At 38.6% G+C, this 24513-nt stretch overlaps 1 long non-coding RNA gene and 1 other non-coding gene across 3 annotated transcripts in view; one reads left to right on the top strand and one right to left on the bottom strand.

The window, feature by feature from the left end:
* LOC124901810 (uncharacterized) overlaps window positions 1-18123 on the bottom strand; it is a 152886-nt gene extending 134763 nt beyond the window's left edge. For both annotated transcript variants that reach the window (XR_007060637.1, XR_007060636.1), the window contains exon 1: window positions 17756-18123. This is a non-coding gene — a long non-coding RNA (uncharacterized LOC124901810). The remainder of the gene's footprint in view (window positions 1-17755) is intronic.
* A 4254-nt stretch (window positions 18124-22377) lies between these two features.
* Window positions 22378-22510, top strand: LOC124900240 (small nucleolar RNA SNORA31). The gene has a single exon (XR_007060655.1). It is a non-coding gene; the product is annotated as a small nucleolar RNA SNORA31 (small nucleolar RNA).
* Window positions 22511-24513: the final 2003 nt, after the last annotated feature.

Below are 24513 nucleotides of genomic sequence, written 5' to 3'. Positions count from 1 at the left end.
TCCCACCCAACAATGCTAAGTTATTCATTTCACTCTGTGTAAATAATAACTAAATAAAATCTTTTTAACAACAACAAAAAAAATGCTTTTCACTTTTTACCATGAAATGTCATTTTGTTAGAGTATTCTTTATGGAGAGAGATATTCTTTATCAAATTTTAAAAGGTGTCTTCCCTTACTATTTAGCTGCTTTTTTATCATTAAGATATGTTGCACCTCATTAAATGTTTCTTCTGCCTTTGTTCATACCATCATTCCTGCTAATAAGGCAAATTATATACATTTACTTTCAAGTGTTAAGCCAACCTTGCAATCTTGAGGTAAATCTAATTTGGTCTTTATGTTTGATCTTTCTTAACACACTATGGAACTTGGTGTGATACTATTTTATTCAAGATTTTCTTCTCCATGTTCATAAGGGTGATCAGATTGTTATTTTCTTCCTTATGCCTTTGCGAGTTACCATATCAAGAGTATGCCAGTCTCATAAAATGAGTGAGAAAATGTTACCCCATTTTTCTCAAATATAAAATAATTTTGGGAATTTTAATTTACTTGTGTCTTGAATGTTTCATAGAATTGCCCAGAAAATTATTTCAGTTTGAAATAAATTTTTGTGGGAAAATTTTAACAAATTTCTTATTTTTTGAACAAACTACTTTTCAAATTTCTCTTCTTTTTGAGATAATTTTAGTGAGTTTTGAACTTTATTTATTTATTTTTTTGAGATGGAGTCTCGCTCTGTCACCCAGGCTGGAGTGCAGTGGCACCTTGGCTCACTGCAACCTCCACCTCTCTGGTTGAAGCAATTCCCCTGCCTCAGCCTCCTGAGTAGCTGGGATTACATGTGCACGCCAACATGTCTGGCTAATTTTTTAATATTTTTAGTAGAGAGGGAGTTTCACCATGTTGGCCAGACTGGTCTCAAACTCCTACAAACTTAGTATAGCTAAGTTGGTAGCTGTTTCTGTGGAATCTTGAGAAGATGGAAACAACATAGTAGTAAGAAATTTATTAAACACCTGCTAAGCAAGACACACCACAGTTGCACATAAACAGAGATGGCAGAAGCCCATTGAAACATGGACCTTGGAGCCAAATGGACAAGTGTGTGCATTAGGGTTCTTCTACTCACTGTTAGAAGGTAGCCATGGAGAAGTTAATTACAGGCTCTGGTCCCAGTTTCCTCATATATTAAATGAGAATACTACTACTAATACTTACTGTTAAGTCTAGCCTATGTCTGCCCAAGTCTTATCGGTATTAGTGTGCAAAAATTCTTAACATTAGCAATAGTTCCCTAAATTCCATAAATTGTTACCACCTGATTTCAAACTATAGTGCTTCTAAAGGCCCTCAACTTTTACTCTGCCCTTTCTTGGAATGTGCAGGGTTGTATGATATGAGCCAGGAAACAGACTTCTCAAATTCTCTTCTTGCCCTGTCTTTGGTATTTTTTGCCTTTCAGACAGATAAGTTTAGTGCCCAACAACTGCTGCTTAGTGACTGACGTGTCAATTTTAAAATTTGCAACAAGTGCTTATTTTTCAGAGCTGCTGAGGAGGTAAAAAACCTTCAGGGTACAAACAGGGAACTGTGTCCCTGGAGATTCTCATTGTGCTGAAACCGTATGAATTTTCATAGAGAAATGGGAAGAATGTGTCTTTTTTACTTAAATCAATGCAGCCATAACACACCTCTGGGTTTCCCAGAGGCTTTAGATAAACAGATTGTTCAATTATTCTCAGAAGCACCCTCTTTATAGGGCTAGCTTTAGTATCAGGCCCCTGAAAGAGCACACGCTGCCTCCCCTCTCCTTTCCTATATCTCTTAAGATACTAATTAACAGAAAGCCAAACACGACAAAAACAAACATTCTATAGTCAAAAAACCCTAAACAAAATGAATTTCCAACTGGGACTCATACGTGCACTAAAATAAGCCTAAATCACACTTCAGGTTCCAACTTGTACTCTACTGCATAATAGGAACCTTGCAAAAGGAGCACATCAAGTGGCTGACCTAATAAGGGACCCCAATCAATGTTTATTATTAAGGACTTTGGCACGAAATTCAAAACATGAAAGTCAAGTAAAGCCTTTTTTTTCATTTAAGAATTATAGTTGAGGTAGTTTGGAAGAAGACAAGATAGATGGAAATTTGTCAAACTACGCCACCCCAAATGATGTTTGCAATTTCTATTCAATCATTCCCATCCTTCAGGGCATCAATTAAAACCATTTTAATCTATTTTAATTTCAGGTCTGCTTTAATCTACTGTTTATTTACAGAAGTTCAAATGTCACAGGCTCATTGGAAAGCAATCATTTTGTCAAAAATTCATTCAGATTGAGAACATGGAATGATGCTAAATCATTAGTGATAATGTCGTTGGACATTGTTGGAATGTAACTACTGGGACCAGTATAGTGAGTTTTCTCTCCAAAATAACTCATTAGCTTCACACAGAGAGAGCTCTAGTCCTCAGGTTGCAGACTGGACTGTTGACCTCAGCCAGCCGCCTGACAAACATCTGCCATGAGGCATGAAGGCACAGACTGGGAGAGGTCAGCTCCATCCAAACAACTATATGAAAAGTAATTTGCTGCATTTGATTTACAGGTGGCATTGAAGCTTGTTATTTATTATTTTTTGTATTAAAAACATAGAATTTCAGGTCTCTAGTTTATTTAATTCATAGAGGGAAAACACTATAAATGTGGTAGTATGTCTTTCTAAGTAACAAGTTTTGCTGATTTTGATGAAGATTAAAAGTTAAATTTTGGAATAAAATTTTTGCCTCTAATGATAAATCCGCAGACTGTTCTAGACAATATAGGGTATTGGAACAGATTAGAGATCTAACCCTAAAATAAGAAAAAGGAATTTGATATTAGGTAAACAGAGAATACAAATAGCCTCAATGAAGCAGTTGAGCACATGCAGTGGCTGACATTTAATTCATAGTCCACCCCTTATGCTCCACGGACAGGTACACTGCTCTGTGTACTTCTCCACCATCTGCAATGCCCTAGGGGTCCCTGGCTTCAACTCTTAGCTGTGAGGACTGTCTGAAATTTGAAAGGGCTAGCCAGGGTTCCCGTGGAGAGCACATGTATGGTGTGAAGGGCAGTTGTCCAAACGTGTGAATATTTAAATAGAATTAAAGGCATTCAGTCAACGTTGAGCCTGTGTTCTGCCCATATTAATTGTGACAAATAAAGTTGCTTTCTGTTAATTTTGTAAAATAAAATACACTGGAGAAAAATGAGATACATCATCGACTTTGTGACTTATTGCAAATACTCAATAATACCTAATATATAATGCCCACCAAGTACAGCAATGGAATAGCAATTTTCATATATTTTTAAGAATACAAATTGGTAGATGGCTGGCTGCAGTGGCTCCCGCCTGTAATCCCAGCACTTTGGGAGGCCAAGGGGGGAAGATCACAAGGTCAGGAGGTCGAGACCATCCTGGCCAACACAGTGAAACCCCGTCTCTACTAAAAATACAAAAAAAATTAGCTGGGTATGATGGCGGGCACCTGTAGTCCCAGCTACTCGGGAGGGTGAGACAGGAGAATGGAATGAACCCGGGAGGTGGAGCTGGCAGTGAGCCAAGATCCTGCCACTGCACTACAGCCTGGGTGACAGAGCGAGACTACGTCCCCCACCCCACCCCAAAAAAAAAAGTTGTATTCCTATGGCATAAAACAAGAAGAAAAAGTAAGTAGAACACAGAAAATTTCAACATTCTTAAGTAGGTATAATTACTAAATACTTCAAAATGCTTAGGTAGAATATATATGTAATTCTTTGAAATGAAAATGGAATATTTATGAAAGCTGGACACCTAACAAACCAAAAAAAATTTAATAGTTATATCATTAGAAATGCATTCTACAAATCTCAAAAAATAACTATTATTAACCACTCGTAATTATTAATCAATTTTATGTTGTAAGGTTAGCATTTAAATTAAATTGCATTTAATCATAATATTAAATAAATAGCATTAACAATTAGTTAATTAATTAATCTTCAATTAATAATTAATGACAAGAAGGTTTTATTAACTCCTGTGAACCACAATGTTCAGTGGTCATTGGTGAAGCCAAGAACCAAGAATGTAATCATAATCACAATAATAACACATTAGACAATAACAGTAATCACTACCACTATTAGTAATCACTTTAGAATAAGCATCACTACTTATTCTAAAGACCAAAACCTAAACAATTTTGAGAAAAAGTCAAAGACTTAAATATTTTTCCTTAAGAAGGAAGAAAACATGGCCAGGCGAGGTGGTTCACACCTGTAATCCCAGCACTTTGGGAGGCCGAGGCGGATGGACCACTTAAACTGCTATATAATATGGTGGTTTAAGGGTTAGGTTCAGTAATCATGGAGTTTTTTTTTGCTGGTTTGTTTTTAATCCTAGCTCCTTTATTAATTTTGGCAAAAATCTTAATCTTTCTGGGCCTTAAATTTCTATAACTACATAATGGTGACAATAATATATACCTTACTGTGTTATTGCTTTAATTAAATTATATGTTACATAGTGTTCATAACCCAATACTAATAAATAGACGAAATAGGCCAAGTGTAGTCGCTCATGCCTGTAATCCCAGCACTTTAGCAGGCCAAGGAAGGCAGATCACTTGAGGTCAGGAGTTCAAGACCAGCCAAGCCAACATGGTGAAACCCCATCTCTACTAAAAATACAAAAATTAGCCAGGCGGGATGGTGGGCGCCTATAATCCCAGCTACTTGGGAGGCTGAGGCAGGGGAATCGCTTGAGCCTGGGAGGCAGAGGTTGCAGTGAGCCATGATGACACAACTACAAGCCAGCCTGGGTGATAGAGTGAGACTCCCCTCTCACACTAAAGAAAAAAAAGAACGTAAAAGTGAATAGCTTAGTACTTCTTCTTTTTTTTCTTTTTTTTTGAGAGGGAGTCTCGCACTGTCTCCCAGGCTGGAGTGCAGTGGCACTATCTCTGCTCACTGCAAGCTCCGCGTCCCGGGTTCACACCATTCTCCTGCCTCAGCCTCCCCAGTAGCTGGGACTACAGGCGCCCGCCACCACGCCCAGCTAATTTTTTGTATTTTTAGTAGATATGGGGTTTCACCGTGTTAGCCGGGATGGTCTCGATCTCCTGACCTCATGATCCGCCCCCCTCAGCCTCCCAAAGAGCTGGGATTACAGGTGTGAGCCACCGCACCCGGCTATGAATAGATTAATACTTCTAAGCACAGGAAGAACATATTTTAAAAGAAGATTAAGATTGAAGAAATTAGAAAATAAGAAATAAATTAGAAAAATGGGCACAGTGGAATTTATAAAGAAAAGTAAGAAATAGATCCCTTAAAATTTTATCAAATAGATAAGACATAATGAACTTGATAAAAAATAATAACCATAAAGAAACAGATATAAGAAATGTGAAACTGTTCCTTGAGAAGTTAAAATATGAAATAAATTGAAGATTAATTATGAGAAGTGCTATTTATATGGTAAGATATTAAAAAGCCTAAATCTAAAATACATTTTAAAATTGTGGTAGTGTTTTCAAATAATTATGAAGATGTAGTTTTACCTTGGTAAGTAAGCTATTTCAAACTTCAAATTAAGAAACAAAGACCTTGAACATACACAAAGCAAAGCTTCCTATGACATTCTACAAATTAAATATAGCAGTGATTCTAAAATATGATAAACGTGCCACAGAAAGAAAACTACTTGCCAGCAAAATAGCAAAGGAAAATATCAACAACCAATAGAAAGCACTTAATTGAATAAATAATTCATTGTGACCAAAAAGGTCCAAGTTCAGAGATGCAATGATAGTGTTCAAAGGCATTCAGGGGCCACCCTGCACAGGTTGAGTAGGATGGGATAGTGGGACAGTGAACAAAATGGGCCGGTACAATCCCATGACATGGGTAGACAAGGTAGAGAGAAAGAAAGGTGTATTGCAGTTGATACACTTCACACACCAGTACAGGAAATGGGGTTAAGAGACAAAGACCAGTTTTGTGTGAACACTGGGCACTGTTCTGCAGTGTCAGCACGTGATTTTAGGCAAACATGGGTCAATACTTTCCTCAGAATGGTGTGAGACTAGGCACAGAATTTAAAATGTATTCCAGACTCTAACTTGCCATGAATTAGAGCATTTAAATTTAGCTATGCTGAGATGTTCAAAACTTCCTGTGCTTGCTATTTATTTTAAAACCCCAAGTTTTTACAAGCTTTCATAAAGTCTTAAGCTTTTATTTTTACTCAAATATCTTCTCTGCCACCTCTCCACAAGCTGTCCCTTCTGTGGACTCCCACTGTGTTTTGTCATCTGAAAAAAACATTTCACTGAAAACAAAGGAACAGCAACAAGAACACACTCTGTTGTTATAAAGCATGATCTAGGTATGTAGCTTACTGGAAGATTAGGGCATGCATTTTGAATGTTCTCACCACAAATAAATGATACATGTTTGAAGTGGTAACATACTAATTACTCTGATTTGATCATTTCACAATGTGTATGTATATCAAAACATCACATTATATCCCATAAATATGTACAACTATTATGTGTGAATTAAAAATGAAATAAAACTTTAAAGGACTCAGGCATTAAGTAGAAAATTGTTTATTGTCTCTTGTAAGCAGAAAAATCCATGATTATCTAATTGTAACTTGAAAGAATACAAGAAGATATGACAACTCTTCCCAAGTTAAGTTATAGATTTAACACATTTCCAATTAATAGCCTAATGAGATACTGTATGAAAGCTGACAAAATGATTCTAAGACTCATTAAAAAATAAATGAGTAAGACTGCTTAATAGATTCTGGAATAAAACGAATAGTAACAAAGGGATGAAGATCTTACCAGATATTAGAACCCATCATATATCAAAAATATTAAACTTGTAGTGAAGGAACATAAAACTCATAGAAAAAAATCACTGAAACAATGTAAAATATAAACCTAGGATGATATGTGCAGGAAATAGTTTGAATAATTCTTAAACTGAGCAAACAGTTCAAAAAGGAGACAATTAACAGTGTTTGTTCTTCATACAACTGGGTAGCAATACACTTCTAAACTACAGTACAGTACAGAATGTAAAACTTCATCTTCCCTTTATGAAGCTACAGAGTTTGATGTAGTTCATTATTTTACAAGGATGAGCTACATATTGTGGTCCTGGGAAGACAGTCAGAAAAATGTGAATTGTGACCAGTACTGAGCTATCTATCTATTATCTGAAAAAGTAATCGTGATCTACAAAGACCAATAACCAGTATTTGTATTAATTTCCTACTTAATGGAAATAAGGAAATGCAATCAGTTTTCTTGGAGTATTTTAATACCATTTCAGTGACATTAGTCTTTTTGTATATACATTATATCCAGAAATCAATGGATGTGTGCAAAAAGTAATATATGCAGATTTAATCATAGCTTCAAGGCCAACAGTACTCTTTGTTATAAATATGCTTTCACTGGACTTTACATATACTGCATCATTCTTAATATTTACTTTTTTTCCCTCAGGCAATAGCCAAATGGGAAAATATATGCAAATACATACATAATCATCATGCTGTAATTCCTGGCATTAAAATTTTTCTATGTGCAACCAAAGTGAAAAAATGGTGGTGAAAGTTTGTGAATATGAACCCAAAAAATAAAACAGTCAAATTACTGAGGCTGGGCGTGGTGGCTCATGCCTGTAATCCTAGCACTTTGGGAGGCTGAGGCGGGCAGATCACAAGGTTGGGAGTTCGAGACCAGCCTGGCCAAAATGGTGAAACCCTGTCTCTACTAAATATACAAAAATTAGCTGGGCATGGTGGAGGGCGCCTGTAGTCCTAGCTACTCAGAAGGCTGAGGCAGGAAAATCGCTTGAACCTGGGAGGTAGAGGTTGCAGTGAGACAAGATTATGCCACTGCACTCTAGCCTGGGTGACAAAGCGAGACTGTCTTAAAAAAAAAAAATTACTGAGTGCTACAAAATAGTGAGACAATGGGATGAGAGGCCAACAGATGCATGTCTGCTGCCATAAACACATAGCACAGAGACCTCCTAGTTCCACTTCCCACACGTTCACTCACAGGTCATGTAGGCCCTGGTCCTACCTCTCCTCCCACTCTTTGCAGCCTTGCTAATCAGAGAGGATCTATGGAGCACCCGGTCCTATCTCTCTTCCCACTCATTGGAGCCTCTCTAATCAGTCAGAGAGGATCTACACCCCTAAATAAACTTGAGGCAGGAGCCTCTCAGGTCTGTTTTATGCTCGAAGTCAAACCACAATATGCTCTAAGTCAAACCACAACTGAGTCCTTCCAGGGAGACCAAGGTCGTCACATGTTTAAGAACACTGAATAACTGTAATTGCTGAATGTAACATGCATGCCTCTAGGCTCATGGCATTATACTAATCTTGTGCATTTGCCTTATATCATCTCTGTGACATTTCGGTGTCATTTATATCAACCCTCACATAAATTGCATGTGAATCATGAAGGAATGAACTCAAGAAATACAGAAGTGCTGGGCCAGTTGAATACATGTAAGAAGAAAATGGTTTGTAAGAAAGAATGAAAATAGTCAAGGAGTGTTAAGGCAGACAAGATCGCTGCATTTTATCACACAAGAATTTGTTTTGGCAACTCAGTGAAAAGTATCTGGGGTATTAGTGCACATGTGAAAAGAGAATGTAGAAGGTTCTGCCAGCTACCAATTAGATGACACAGGTAGAAATGTTAAACAAAACCACAGGGAGGAAATCAACAACATCTAGACTGTAAGAAATTCTACAGCAATGCTACCTACTGTGGGAAGGACCAGTTTGTTTGGGTACTTAGTTGTAATTTCCAATTCATTTTACATTTCCAGTAATTTAAAATATAAACACACACACACACATAATCACATACTTAAATTGTAAAACAGCTAAAAAAAGGTTTTTAAATCCTAATTCTTTTTTACTGTTATTTTTGAAATTTTACACATAGCAAATTCTAAATATTGCATGGGGATAATGGAACAACAAACTTATATAAAGTTTGAATTGTGCTGTACCATCTAAGAAACAAAAAACAAACACATATGCTAAAAAGTATCAAAAATGCCTTGTATAAAACATATACTATTAACATTGTTTCCCAAAGAAATAATACTAACTTATTATTTCTAATATATATTAATTATATTGATATAATAATATTTTAAAGTATAGATATATATATATTCAATTAGTATTTTTCCAAGGAAAATGTACTGTTTTTTACAGCATTCCTACCTTTTCACTGAAATAGATGTATAAACATTAATCAGAAGTCAAACTATCCCTAGTTGCAGACAATATGATTCTATACCTAGAAAACCTCATAGTCTCAGATCTGATAAACAACTTCAGCGAAGTTTCAGGATACAAAATAAATGTACAAAAATCAGTAGCATTCCTATACACCAACAATAGACAAGCTGAGAGCCAAATCAAGAACACAGTCCCATTCACAATAGCCACAAAAAGAATAAAACACCTAGGAGTACAGCTAACCAGGGAGGTCAAAGATCCTACAATGAGAATTACAAAATACTGCTCAAAAAATCAGAGAAGACAGAAACAAATGGAAAAACATTCCATGCTCATAGGTAGGAAGAATCAATATTAGCAGAATAGCCATGCTTCCCAAAGCAATTTACAGATTCAATGCTATTCCTATTAAACTACCAATGATATTCTGCACAGAATTAGAGAAAATTATTTTAAAATTCACATGCAACCTAAAAAGAGCTCAAATAGCCAAGACGATCCTAAGTAAAAGAACAAAGATAGAGGCATCATGCTACCTGACTTCAAACTATGTGACAAGACTGCAGTAACCAAAACAGCATGGTACTGGTACAAAAACAGACATATGGATCAATGGTACAGAATAGAGAGCCCCGAAATAATGTGGCACCCCTACAACTATCTGATCTTTGACAAACCTGATAGAAAGAACCAATGGGGTGAAAAGGACTCCCTACATAATAAGCAGTGCTGGGATAACTGGCTAGCCATATGCAGAAAGTTGACACTGGACCCCTTCCTTCACCATATACAACAAATCAACTCAAGACAGATTAAATCTTAAATTTAAAACCTACAACTATAAAAACCCTGGAAGATAACCTAGGGTATACCATTCAGGGCATAGAAACAGGCAAAGATTTCACAATGAAGATGCCAAAAGCAGTTGCAAAAAAGCCCCACAAAAATTGACAAGTGTGACCTAATTAAACTTAGGAGCTTCTGCACAGCAAAAGAAACTATCAACAGAGTAAACAGAGTAAACAGACAACCTACAACAGAGTAAACAGAATGCAAGAAAATATTTGCAAACTATGTATCCAACAATGGTCTAATACCCAGCATCTATAAGGAACCTAAACAAATGTACAAGCAAAAAACAAACAACCCCATTAAAAAGTGGGCAAATGACATGAACAAACACTTTTCAAAGGAAGACATACACGGCCAACAGCATATGAAAAAAATGCATGACATCACTGATCATTAAAGAAATGCAAATCAAAACCACAGTGAGATACCCATCTCTGGCTTTAATAATAAGCCAGAATGGTTTTTATTGAACTGTCAAAAAATAACAGATACTGACAAGATTGTGAAGGAAAGAGAATGCTTACACACTGCTAGAGGGAATGTAAATTAGTTCACCCACTGTGGAAAGCATTTTGGCAATTCCTCAAAGAACTTAAAACAGAAATGTCATTTGATATGGCAATCCTTTTATTGGGTATCCATCCAAAGGAATATAAATTATTTTACCATAAAGACACACACACATATATGTTAACTGCAGCACTATTCACAATACCAATGACATGGAAACAACCTGAATGCCCATCAATAGAGCACTGGATAAAGAAAATGTGGTACATATACACTGAGGAATACTATGCAACCATAAAAATGAATGAGATCATGTCCTTTGCAGCAACATGGATGGAGCTGGAGGCCATTATCTTAAGCAAACTAACACAGCAACAGAAAACCAAATATACATGTTCCCACTTATAAGTGGGAGCTAAATGATGAAAACCCATGGACACAAAGAAGGGAACCAAAGACACTGAGTCTTACTTGAGGGTTGAGGGTGGGAGGAGGGAGAAGATAAAAAATCTTCCTATTGGGTATTGGCTTATTACCCAGATGATGACATAATCTATACACCAAAACCCTGTGACACACACTTTACCTACATAACAAACTTGCACATGTACCTGTGAACCTAAAATAAAAGCTAAATGAGATTTTTTTAAATTAAAAATAAACATCAAAAAGATGACTCTAAATTTATGCAGCTGTGTCTATGATATTGTAATTTTGTCTCTTTATTTTTAATCTGTTGAATAAATATCTTGAGATAAATTCCTTTGAGTAAGATTACTAAAAAAATGAAGCAAATTTTTTACTGGAATTTGAGAAATGTTATTTCTATTCTGTTCTCTGAAAGAATGGGAAAATTTTATAATGACAGTAAAGATTTGTCCATTTACCTAGAGTTTGACTAAAAGTGGATTTTATAACACTTTTGAAAACTTAACTAATTAAAGATTTAATAAACATTTATTTTGAAATGTTATGTACAAATTAGTAAGTTAGGTGTTGAGGAAGTGCTGTATCTCCACATAGGTGCATCATCACCATGCCTGTTGATCTCTACTAAATCATTAAATTTGGAAATTCTTAAGGATCGATCTTCGTCTCTCTTCTTTGATCAATGTATAATCTCCTCCAATGCAAACTTACCTGTACACATGGATTCTCTGGCATATATACATACATGGTTGATTCTCTCTCTCTCTTTTCTTTTTTGCAGTAGCTATGTTCTACAGACTTGCTGTAAACACTGAATTAGTGAATGCACTGAATTAGTGATGCGTGGCTTTGAAGGGAAACATGGGGTTAAGTACTTGTGAGCCTCTGATCATAGCATTTCCATCAACCAATCAATACAAAACCTTGTTTTACGTATCTGTTTATGGACAACGTATTTATTATATGCTGTTGATTAATTAGCATGGAACCTGCAGCCAACAGCACTGTAACTCATGCCTTCACTAAGTTTCTCTAACACTTGTATTTTCTTCATAAGGCATATCACAGTCATACTCTGCAGGTATTCTAAATAGCAAAATCACCAACAAAAGCAGAAAATGCAAAAATATGCCACTAAATAGACTGTGACAAGGCCCCTTGCTACCATTATGAGAGCTTAGACAAGAAGGCAGAGCATGGCTTGGTTGCCCTCAGCAGGTAATATCTGTACCAGGAGACACAAGAGCTTTTGCTGCTCTGGGCATGTCCATGAACGACCACAAAAGCACCACGGGTATTGACTTGAGGGGTTACAAGCAAATTTTAGCAAATAGGTAAATTGAAAAATGTGAAATCTGATAATAATGAAGATTGATTATGTTGAAAAAAATAAAAATTCTCTCTACTTCAGATTATCATCTACTGGGTATTTTGTAAGTGTGGAATACTCTGTTGTCTAAAATTAGAATCATGGCTTTCCATCATACACATTTCCATTGTAAGTGACAGGTAACATCCTCCACCCCTCATGGCAAGCAGGAACCTGGCAGTCACCCTTGGTAACTCCTGTGACTGACCCCCACACCTTCGATCACTCCCCAAGGCCAGTTGCTTATACCTCCTAACTACTGCTAGAGATTGTCTGCTCTCCATCACCACTGATGAAACTGATATTCACGCCAAGATGATCTCACCTGGTTACTTGCAATGGCCATATTGACTTTTTCAATTTGTTATCTACCCTGGTAACAGAGTAACATTTTAAAGCCCAAATCAGACATATCACCTACTTTAAACTATTCAGTTTTCCATTGCTTTTCACTGTAAAAAAAAATCATGTCAATAGCATGGATTTTGAAATCATGTACATTTTAAAAAGCATGCAAGTACTTTAGATACAATTGGAGTAGATACAAATCCGATCAGATGCTTGGAGCTGCTATAATCATTATGCAAAAAATGAAAGAAAAACCGAAAAGCACAGCCAAAAATCTGAGGATGACAAAGCAAAAAAATGGATAATTTGGTGTGAATGTGTGTATGTATGTTACTGTGTGTGCTGTAGAGATTTACTGAATTATTCACATGCTACAAAAAGGCACCTAGATTTTCCCTTCCAAGGGCAATAACTGCTTCCTGTTTCTTGATTTCTTTCCAGGAGTATTCTGGGTGGCTATATAAACACATCTTCCTTTTCAGTTGCTGATATGAACATTGTAATACATCTTGCTTTGTTCACTTCATATTCAACTTTTGGAGTTACTCCACCTCAGGATAGTTAGGTCTATTTAATTTTTTTTTAATTGGACACATAGCATTACACAGAATGGCTGACACCATTTATTTTACTAGTTCTTTTTTGTTGTTGCTGTTGTTGTTTTTGAGACAGAGTCTCACCCTGTCTCCAGGCTGGAGTGCAGTGGCGCGATCTCAGCTCACTGCAACCTCCGCCTCCCAGGTTCAAGCGATTCTCCTGCCTCAGCCTTCTGAGTAGCTGGGAATACAGGCACCGGCCACCACACCCAGCAATTTTTGTATTTTTAGTAGAGTTTCACCATGTTGGTCAGGATGGTCTTGACCTCATGATCCACCTGCCTTGGCCTCCCAAAGGGCTGGGATTACAGGAGTGACCCACTGTGCCCTGCGACTAGTCCTTTACTGAAAGACATTTGTATAGTTTACATAATTTTGTCATTACAGACAGCAATGCAGGGAGCATCCTTGTACATATGCTCTCATTTAGCACAGCAAATATACCTGTGGCAATGCTGGATCAATATAGGCATGTGGTTGTTGATTTTGTCAGGTGAACTAAGAATCCTTCTGGAAAAGTCCTGCCAGTGAGCAGCACGGGCTTGTGGTACTGAGTAAGAGTGCCTCAATGCCACGCATTACCTGGCCCACCCCCTACCAAGACTGGCCAACCATAGAAAAAGCATGGCAGCCACGCTGGAAGAGTCAACACAGGCATTAGCTGGAGTCACAACCTCACACCCTGTGAAATTTACAACCTGTCAGCCACTCATGGATCAACTCGGCAATGTCCCGATGGGTCCATGTTTCTAACCTCTCCAGTTTCTTGGACTTGTCCCTCCTGAGGACCCATCCTGGCTTCCAGGGGGCAAATGGACAGGGTCACTTCCAGGATGAAGACTCCACCTAGCTGGCGTCCACTGGGTAGAGTCTGGCTGATGCCCCATCTCTTCCAGGACTTGGTTCTGTAGTCAGGCCACCCTGTGTCTATGTTTCTACATTTCTCTTAGATACTTGATCTTTGGCTTTTTATTTTCCTTGTCCTTGCTTTCTGTCCTTTTCTAGGAAATCTTCATCCACAGATCCTCTTCCTCCAGCTTCGAGTTTGCTGAGCTAGCTGGATCTAAAACTGTTTTGTCTGTATCTCCTTGCTCTATGAAAGAATAACCACTTCATTATTCAAGTCAATGTTAATAGGGGTTTCTGATATTTGCAGTGGCAGCCATCCTGAAACCTAATATCAAGAGTTGGAAAGAGGGTTTTGAAGTAAGTTATCAGCAGACTGAGGTCATGACACCAGGATGATGTTAACCTAAATTAAGCCCTGGGGGAAAGTGGATCCTGATTGAGCCAGTAAGGGTGAGGGATCACATTAAATTCCCTTCCATGTAACAAGGGCCTGCTTCTAGAGCAGTGTGCAAGACACAGGGCTGTGCCCAGTGCTGTGCATTCAAACTTCTGCGAAAAACCAGATTTGAAGAGCAGTTTTCAAAACAACAGCAACAAAGTTAGCTCCAGCGGGGCTGAAAGATTTCCTTCTGTGGAAGGAGTCATGAGATAAAAATGCTTCACAGCTTTGTGGCTGCAAAAAAAGCGCTCACTGATGGCAGAGATGTTAGGACTGAGCAGAGTGGAGACCAGAAGTAAGAAAGGCAGGATTGTTCCGGGGAATCTGGCCCCTGACGCCCTGACCACCCTCATGAGTGGCGACGCTCCCTGACTCTCTGAAAGCAGGGAAGATCTAATAGAATGAATATCTCAAGGAAAGGAAAATTTACAGTTTCCACAGGTCTGGAGATGCAACGTTTCTTGGGTAATGTTCAGGCATTCTCATGGTGTTGAGTTGGAGAATAGTTCTTATAAGAGTCTAGAAGAAAAGGCTTCAATTATTTGTATTATGATTACTAAATGTTATTCATTTATTTTCTGAGGAATAGATGCTTTTAAAAATCCACAGCAGGCACAGCACGGTGGCTCACGCCTGTAATCCCAGCACTTTGGGAGGCCGAGGTGGGCGGATCACGAGGTCAAGAAATCGAGACCATCCTGGCCAACATGGTGAAAGCCTGTCTCTACTAAAAATACAAAAATTAGCTGGGCGTGGTGGCATGTGCCTGTAATCCCAGCTACTTGGGAGGCTGAGATAGGAGAATCACTTGAACCCCAGAGGCGGAGGTTGCTGTGAGCCAAGATCATGCCACTGCTCCCCAGCCTGGTGACAGGGTGAGAATCCATCTCAAAAAAAAAAAAAAGAAAAAGAAAGAAAAAAGGAAAAAAAAATCCACAGCAACACTTATTCTGAAGTATAACTTTAAAAAATGTATGATAATAACCTAAGGCTTTATATTGAAGGAAATTGTCATTTGACCGTAAATTATGGATCATAATTTTATATTTATTATGGGAAGAAAATATAATAACAAGAATATTTACAAAATTTTCTCTAAGTTCTCCACCTTTATACACAGTTTCTTTCTTTTCCTGTTAATATCAATTCACCACTAATATGCAATTTACAGACCTGTAGTCACATTATATGATAAAGGTCGTTAGTACTTTTTTTTCAACTAGCCTTGCAATAAATTACATATTGACAACTGTCCATGATTTCCAAACTTACATCAGGTAACAGGTATAAGATATTAAATCATTTCTTATTCCTCACTCTTCCAAAAATGTGCTTTTAAAACTTCTCTTTCTATAGTGTTTGCCTCTGAGGAATGAATTCTTCATGGAAATTCCAAGATGGAAGTCATTAACTTATCTAATGTGATATAATCTTTCCCAATTAAGTATTCTAACCCTGGCATGACAAATGTGGTCAATTGTTTCAAAACTTTTCCAGCAACAGATGTTACATTTTGAAATATTGGCTAATTAAATTTATGTGAAGGTTTAAACTAATAGGATATGGAAGAAATGATACCTCACTGTCGTTTCAATGTGTAGCTCTTTATGAATGAGGCTGAGTATTTTACATTTGCACTCCATATTTGTATTTCTGTGTCTGTGAAATGTTTGGTCATATCATTTGTATATATTTTTGGTACTGAGTGATAGTGACTTTTACAATTAATTTATAAGACTTCTTAGTATATTAAAAGATTTAAACTTTTGGCTGTGTTATGAACTGCTGATAATTTTTTCATTTTTGCATTTATCTTTTGAATCTGTGTATACATCTATAAATTAGGCTTAGTCAAATTTATCAACCTTTATTCTTCTAATTAGGGCTTGAAGTTTTATTAATATATTTGGAAAGATAAATGTTTTATTGATTTTTTATGTAATGTGTTTCATTTTACAGTAACAAGTCAAAAAAAAAAAAAACCATAAGCAAAGTTAAAAGATAAACTGGGAAAAAATATTTATATCTCATATTACAAACAAAGTACCAATTCCCCCAAACATAGAGATTGCTGTAAAGATTAACATCCCAGGAGAAAAATGAAGCAAGTTCCCAGAACAGGAAACACAAGTGGTCCTTCAACAAATGAAGAGGGGCTCGGCCTATCCTGGTGAGATAAGAACCTGGAAGGTCTAGCCTAGAGTTCCCTTAAAAATCTACGCTAGGGCCGAGTGCGGTGGCTCACACCTTGGGAGGCTGAGGTGGGAGGATCACTTGAGGTCAAGAGTTGGAAACTGGCCTGGGAAACATGGGGTAACCCCTCTCTACTAAAAATACAAAAATTACCCGGGCGTGGTGGCACATTCCTGTAGAAGTCCCAGCTACTCAGGAGGCTGAGACAGGAGAATCACTTGAACCTGGTAGGCGGAGGCTGCAGTGAGCCGAGATCGTGCCACTGCACTCCAGCCTGGGTGACAGAGTTAGACTGCGTCACAAAAAAAAAAAAAAAAATTGTAGACCAGATTGTTTTCACTTCCCGGTTTAGCCCTTGCCAAGGGCCGCCCATGGACTTGGGCCTTTGTGTTTTTGTTGACTATAATCTTGGTGTCCTAACCTGTCAGACGAACATGGTTTTCCCCTGGCGCAAAGTGGGGCTGCGCACTCCTCCCCGTCCTTCCTTCCCGTGGCCCGCAAGACCCGCCGTCCGCATGCAGCCCTGTGGTGCCAGAGGAGGCGCTGCAGCTAAGCACGAACGCGCCCCACGGGAGCGTGCTGTGGGGCCGCGGCCTAAGTAGGGGTTTCAAAGCGGTGGCTGTCAACACTCCTCAGTCCACCTCCGCGAACTTCGCACCTAACCACTGGGGACACTCCAGCACAGGGATGCGGAGGGGGCCTTGGCTGGGGTGGGGCAGGGCCAGGGTTGTGTGTGAAGGAGAAGGCAGGGATGAAGCAGCCGCATCCCAGACCTGCTGTGTCCCACCCCGCCTCTGCACGCCTGCTGGCAGCTCGGGCGCCACGTACCTCAGTTTCTCCCGGAGCCCAGGAGCTGGCTTGGACCGCAGCTCCTGCAGTTCTGGAGGCTGGAGAAGCCTGCGGGCGCTGCAAGCCATCCCAGGAGCCGGCTGGGGGCTGCCGTAGACCATCGGGGGCCAGGATTCCCCGCCAGGTCAGGGAATGCCGGGGCCTCGCAGGGATCTGGCTCTGGGGTCCTTGTGGAGTCCTTGCGTCTAGCGGGGCGCCAGCTCCGCCGAGTACTGGGCGCCTGCGCTCAGCACACTGAGGCTCTGGAGTCCGTCCTGGCCTCGCCGGCATGGAGCTGACCTTCGCGCTAGTGCAGGACCCCAGCATCAGCCGCGGCCTGGCGGGCTAGCGCCTCCTTCCCAGAGTGACAGAGCGCTGCGCCAGGTCCCCGAGCCCGCTCCGCCTGCAGGGCCCAAGCGCTATGTGCATTCCTGTCTCAGGAGGCCTCAGCTGCCTGCTTGCCTTATGAGTTCTTACTACATCAAGGGCTCTTTATGGAACTCCATGTAAACAAAAACTTTCCTGCCAAATTTCATAAAAAAGTGTATTTTCTAACAAGAATAATTTGTGGTTAACTGTGATTTATGACACTATAAAATAGTAACAATAAAAATTAATAAAATTAGTTTTAATTTATTATTTTGTTTGTTTATTTTTGAGACACAGCCTCATTCCGTCACCCAGGCTGGAGTACAGTTGTTCCCAGACCAAACTGAGGGTTGGGCTGCTGTTTCTCGCGGCCCAATAAGGAGAAGCAGATGAGCTGGGAAGAGAGTTTTTATTTCTGCAACTGGTTACAGGGAGAAGGCCTGGAAATTATCGCCAGACCAACTCAAAATCACAAAATTTTCCAGAGCTTATATACCTTCTAAGCTATATGTCTATCTGTAAGTGTGCATTCATCTGAAGACATAAGTGATTAACTTCTGCTGATCTATAATTAAGGTCTGAGTCCTGAGGACCTTCCCCTGGAGCCTCAGTAAATTTACTTAATCTATATGGATCCAGGTGCTGGGGTGATTACCCTTGTCTCCTACTAAATCAGGGAGGTTTGGGGAGTTTCTTCAGACCCCAGACCCCCAATAAACTTGTCTATGGAGGCCTGGGGAATTTCTTCAGACCCACAATACACCTCATTTAATCCTAAATGGGTCCTGTTATGAATTCCTTCGTTATTTTGTCATGGTTTAAGGCCCAGAAAAGGCCTAGGCAAAACACTTGGTGGGCTTTTGTTATATCCCAAGACTTTGTATAAGGGGACTGGCTTTTAATATTTAACTTAACCACTCAGTCAGTACTGAAACAGTTGTTATGGAGGCCTGTGTCAGTGAGACCTGGCCTACCACACTGCAACACTATCTCGGATTACTGCAACCTCTGACTCCCAGGTTCAAGCGACTCTCCTGCCTCAGCCTCCAGAGTGGCTGGGATTACAGGCACCCGCCACCACGCCCGGTTAATTTTTGTAGTATTAGTAGAGACAAGGTTTTGCCATGTTGGCCAGGCTGGTCTCGAACTCCTGATCTCAAGTAATCTGCCTTCCTCAGCCTCCCAAAGCGCTGGAATTACAGGCGTGAGCCACCGCACCTGGCCTGTTTCATTTATTTATTAATATTGGGCTATGAACATTATGTAACATGTAATTTAACTAAAGCAATAACACAGTAAGGTATATATTAGTGTCACCATTACACAGTTATAGAAATTTAAGGCCCAGAAAAACTAAGATTTTTGCCAAATTAATAAAGGAACTAGGATTAAAAACAAACAAGCAAACAAAAAACTACTGGACTGCTGAACCTAACCCTTAAACTGACATTATATAGCACAGCTCTTATTGTGTAATTAAATTTTGTGATATGTTTATGTTTATTGTAGATGTCTAAGGGGAGATACACATTGCAAGTTGGTTCAAACTTATCTGGTAAACACTTTGTTAACAGTATTGAGGAATTTCCATAGAACACACACAGCTGAGTGCCATTGTCATCAGGCACAAAGTGTAGCCAAACATTAATTCACTTAGTAAATATTTACTGAAAGCCAAGAACTGGGATATGGTGATGGCAAAAAGAAATATATTTTTAAATAAAATAGCTTAAGGGATTAAAAAATAAGTGCCATGTTGGCTCAGGAAACAGTTCTTCCATTTGTAGGAGATGTTGAATAATGTATGAGCTGGAGAAATAAAGCCTTGTGAGTTAAGGGGAAATTCATCTGTGACTCTGAAGCAGGGTCTCCATCTAGTCATTACTGGGATTCCCGCTGTCTACCTCTTGTTTCCACCCAGCGCACTGAATACTGAACACCTGCTCTTGTGGCTGGGTAGGGCGGTGTGACCAGTTCTGGTCAGAGGATTGTGAACACAGAGGAACATATTTTCACCAAGCTAAAGCATGTAATTGCTGCTCTGAGACTTTGCATAATTCTGGTCCCACTGCCTAGCCTATGTCCCTAAGTGATTAGGGGCAGAGACTCCTGCTGACCTAGGATGAACCTGTATAAGGATTGTACAGTAACTTTCTGTTATATTAATCAGCCGAAATGTGGGAGTTGTTTGTTTATCTTTACTGTATCTTTACTATTCTGACTGATAAAACCTGCCAGCCTCTAAGAACTTGGGGTTATTGTCAGTTTCATCACTATGCCCTTGCCCTTTTGTAACTCATCCCACTGGTCATCACTGGCCTTTGTCACACGTTTTGGAATACCATGAAAGCAGGGATCATAGAGGAGTATTGTGTTGCTGTGTCCCCAGCATATATATTACATGAAGATTAGCACAATGTAAGTGTAAAATATACATTTATAGATGAATTAATGAATATATAATCCAAAGTGTTACGTACTTTCTTTACTGAATGAAATCACACATCATATAAGGAAATAACTCCTTAGACATTACCAGGACTTAAATTTTGACATAAAATATATAAATAATGGTGTTATATAATCTTACAGTTCTAAATTACACATGCCTTTTGTTTTACCAGACTTTCTGAGAATAAAGCATGAGGCAGGCTCTTCTTAGGATATGACACGGGAGCGGTAAATGCCTTGTGTTGAGGATGTGTTTGAGCGCACTGGTCTGGTAGCTCTGTTCCTGTTGAAATACCATCAGGAACATCAAAATTATCATCTAAATGCCCATGTTCACAACCATAACATTAAACGGTATTTTTCATTATGTATCCCTCCATTTCCATCACACCTTCTTCTCTACTAAAATCAATTTCCCAAACTAAATGTAAACTGCCTCATCCCTGATCCAGATTGAAGGCTGAGGCTGCAGAGCTGTCTACAGCATGTCAGGAGACCTCTGGAATACTAATTGCAGCAGCTCCATCGGAGGAGCACAGGGCTCTGGGCTCTGCGGACGCTCCTTCCCCTAATGTTCCGGGAGAGAGGTCGTGCATGCACCTCACCACAGGTGGGGAAGCAAGGGCATAATGACACCAATTGAAGCTTTCCCAGCTGACACAACACTGCGACAATTTCAGAGTTATGTTATCTCTGTATTAAAAGTCTATCCTCCTCCTATTATTTGGGACAAGCAGGGCAACTTGCCAGTAACTTTGGGCCTGTGGCATGGGCTTTGTGAGGAAAAGGAAAAGCAAGATTGATTGCCTAATGGAAACTCGGGTGGATGCCACAATCCTGCCCACCAGTTGGTCACTTACTTTCCATGGTGAGCACTTCTTTTGGATAAGTAACCCTGCACCTTGTAGATAGGAAAAAAGAAAGACCATACGCTCTTAAACTAGACTCATATCCGAGTTACTCATAGCATATGTTAGCATCATGATTTTGGCTAATCTGTACTGTTTCCTGTGAAGCAAAATAAATAGCTCTAGTCCTAGCTTAGAAAAGGTTACCATTTCCTGTGAAGGGCTTTGAAAATATATTTGTTTTAATATCTATAATTCAATATATCTTGTGAGATTTTCTCTTTTAAACATACAAAAAGATTATTTAAGAAATAACTTTTGCAGGTTAAAATTGTTCTCATTTTGACCAAAGAAAAGTCTGGTTATTTTGAGCCTAAACTAGGAAACACTGTAGATATGTATTTCATTAAGTAATAATTGGCCAATTATGGTTTTAGAAAGGTTACCTCAGTCACTTACTCTTCAGTCAGAGGAGTGTATGCACGTTCCACCATAAGATACATCTGTTAACGTTGTATTTTACTAGAATAGTAAATAAAGAGAAAACTAGCAGTCTTGTAATTTATCCCCCAATGTCCAGATATTTGTGGTGATTCAAAATTCCTCTAAAGACTGAATAAATAATGACACATTACAGGAAGCTAAAGGAGTAATAGGTCATACTGAGTGATCTGATGTCTTCTAGAAAATATATAAAGCAAGCTGCTGTGAAAGTAATATTTTGATTGGGAAAAAAACTTTCTCATTAATTTATTTATTTAGCAAATATTTGTGCATCTTCTGTGTTCATATTTTGCTGGGCCTAGAAGGGAAACACACAGTAGACCCCTTGCTTACTATAAGCTTATGATATCCACAGACACATTATATTCTCTTCATACCACAGGATTTGGTGACAAAAGATAAGTAGCATTAAAAAAAAAAAAACCAGGATGCAGTAAGTTGGAGAGTAAATCCATCTGTTTGGCAGACCTGGAGCAGTTAGTGTCTGCTGCTAAGGTTTCCATTACAGATGTGAGAAAAAAAAGTGTTCTTCTGCTTTCTGTCTGTCTCAGTGGCAACCAAGATTGAATGGGGGATATGAGAGAAGAACATGGTAATACAGGAAAAAACATGGACAGAGAATTTTCACAACTCAGAAATAATCTTGTAACCAGAAAAAGCCCAACTACCGTAACTTACTGTTGAAAAAAAGTTATCATATGTCTTTAGTAATGGTTGTATTTTGAAAAGACATTTAGCTCTGCAATCTCATTCCTTGAGAAAAACATTTATCATATATATATACATATGTATATATTATATATATATAATTTTGTTGCAGGTATGATAAAAAATGCTACAAGGAAGCTTTCAGAATCTTACAATCTAATTAGTATTTGGATGCAACAGTTAAGATTTTAAAAATGGGAAAATATAACTTTCAGAAGCTTTTTTAGTAAGGGTCTCTGTGTGGTCTTGTTTCTAAAGTATATAGATTTTTATTATTTAGATTATAAAGACAAAGTAAAACTTAGCTTATTTGCCCAGATTTGTTTCTTTTCTTGGGGAGAATTTATGATGCTTGAAAGGATCAATAGTTCTTGCAACAAAAATCCCATATTTATCCAGCGAACAGTAACAGAATGTCACAATAAATAAGAAGTGCTACTATAAGGCTCGACCTCCTTCTGCTGCAGAGAGCTGCGGCCAGTGCTTGCCTATGGCAGGATTGAGGAGTAGCTGCATTCTGTGCCTGGTGTCCCTGCTTCTCCAGCTGAGGCTTTTGCTCTCCTAGCTTGCCTTCCTAGGGCACTGCCTGCCCTTACCCTACCGACACACAGAGACACATAGAACGGACTCTCAGAGAGGCTGTACAATGCAGTACGTGATACTCCAGATAGTCCTCCCTTTAGTCTACACTGTGAGCCATGCCCAGCTCCCTATATGACAATACCTTGGAAAACCTCTGACAAGGGCCTACTTACCTGCTCTTCTCAGGGGAGTTCGCATTTGGCAGAAAAATCCTCAAACTTTAAGTTTGTCAGTACTTTATAAAGTACTGAGAAATGGATATCAGTGGGTGATTTTCAGTGAACTGAATAAAGGAAGTACTCAAAAGAATTGCTGTGAGCCAAACTGGACCTCCCTCTGAATGCTGAGGGAGATAAGGTGGGTGGACACCTCCGTGCCTCCTTGCAGGAAAAAGCACATCCTTCTCTTTTTGTCCTCTGAGATATTCCTTTATTCAATGTGACATTTCTGGTGATATGCTATACTTCCTTTTATCTCATAACTCCATAGATATGCACAGAGATTTTAAAATTTGCTCCCTCATCAGTGCTCAAGTAAGTTTTGGAAACTAAATTAGATAAACCGGTTTCTTCACTGCAGGAATGTTCAGAAGACTCAAAAGAATAAAGCACTATGCAAAGGAATTATATTGCTCACGCCTGTAATCCCAGCACTTTGGGAGGCCAAGGCAGGAGGATGACTTGAGGTCAGGAGTTTGAGACCAGCATGGCCAACATGGCGAAACCCTGTCTCCACTAAAAATACAAAAATTGGCCGGGCGTGTTGGCACGTGCCTGTAATCCCAGCTACTCAGGGGGGCTGAGGCAGGAGAATAGCTTGAACTTGAGAGGCGGAGGTTGCAGTGAGCAAATATCGTGTCACTGCACTCCAGTCTGGGCAGCAGAATGAGATTCCATCTCAAAATATATATATGTATATATATATTTTGTATATAATATTTTTTGTATTATACAAAATATATTTTGTATATAAATATATATAAATATATAAATATATATAAATATATAAATATATATAAATATATAAATATATAAATATATATAAATATATAAATATATATAAATATATAAATATATAAATATATATAAATATATAACTATATAAATATATAAATATATATAACTATATAAATATATATAACTATATAAATATATATATAAATATATATAACTATATAAATATATATATTTTTTTCCATCTTCATATTTACTTTTTATGATCTGTGCTGTCTTTGTATTTGCTCACTCACTGATGATGAAAGTGGCAGAAAACACATGGCTCTAAGCAATATCTCTG

Source organism: Homo sapiens, chromosome 7, assembly GCF_000001405.40.
Source record: "Homo sapiens chromosome 7, GRCh38.p14 Primary Assembly".
In the NCBI taxonomy this organism is placed as follows: Eukaryota; Metazoa; Chordata; class Mammalia; order Primates; family Hominidae; genus Homo; species Homo sapiens.
This window is presented reverse-complemented; position numbering and strand designations above follow the sequence as displayed.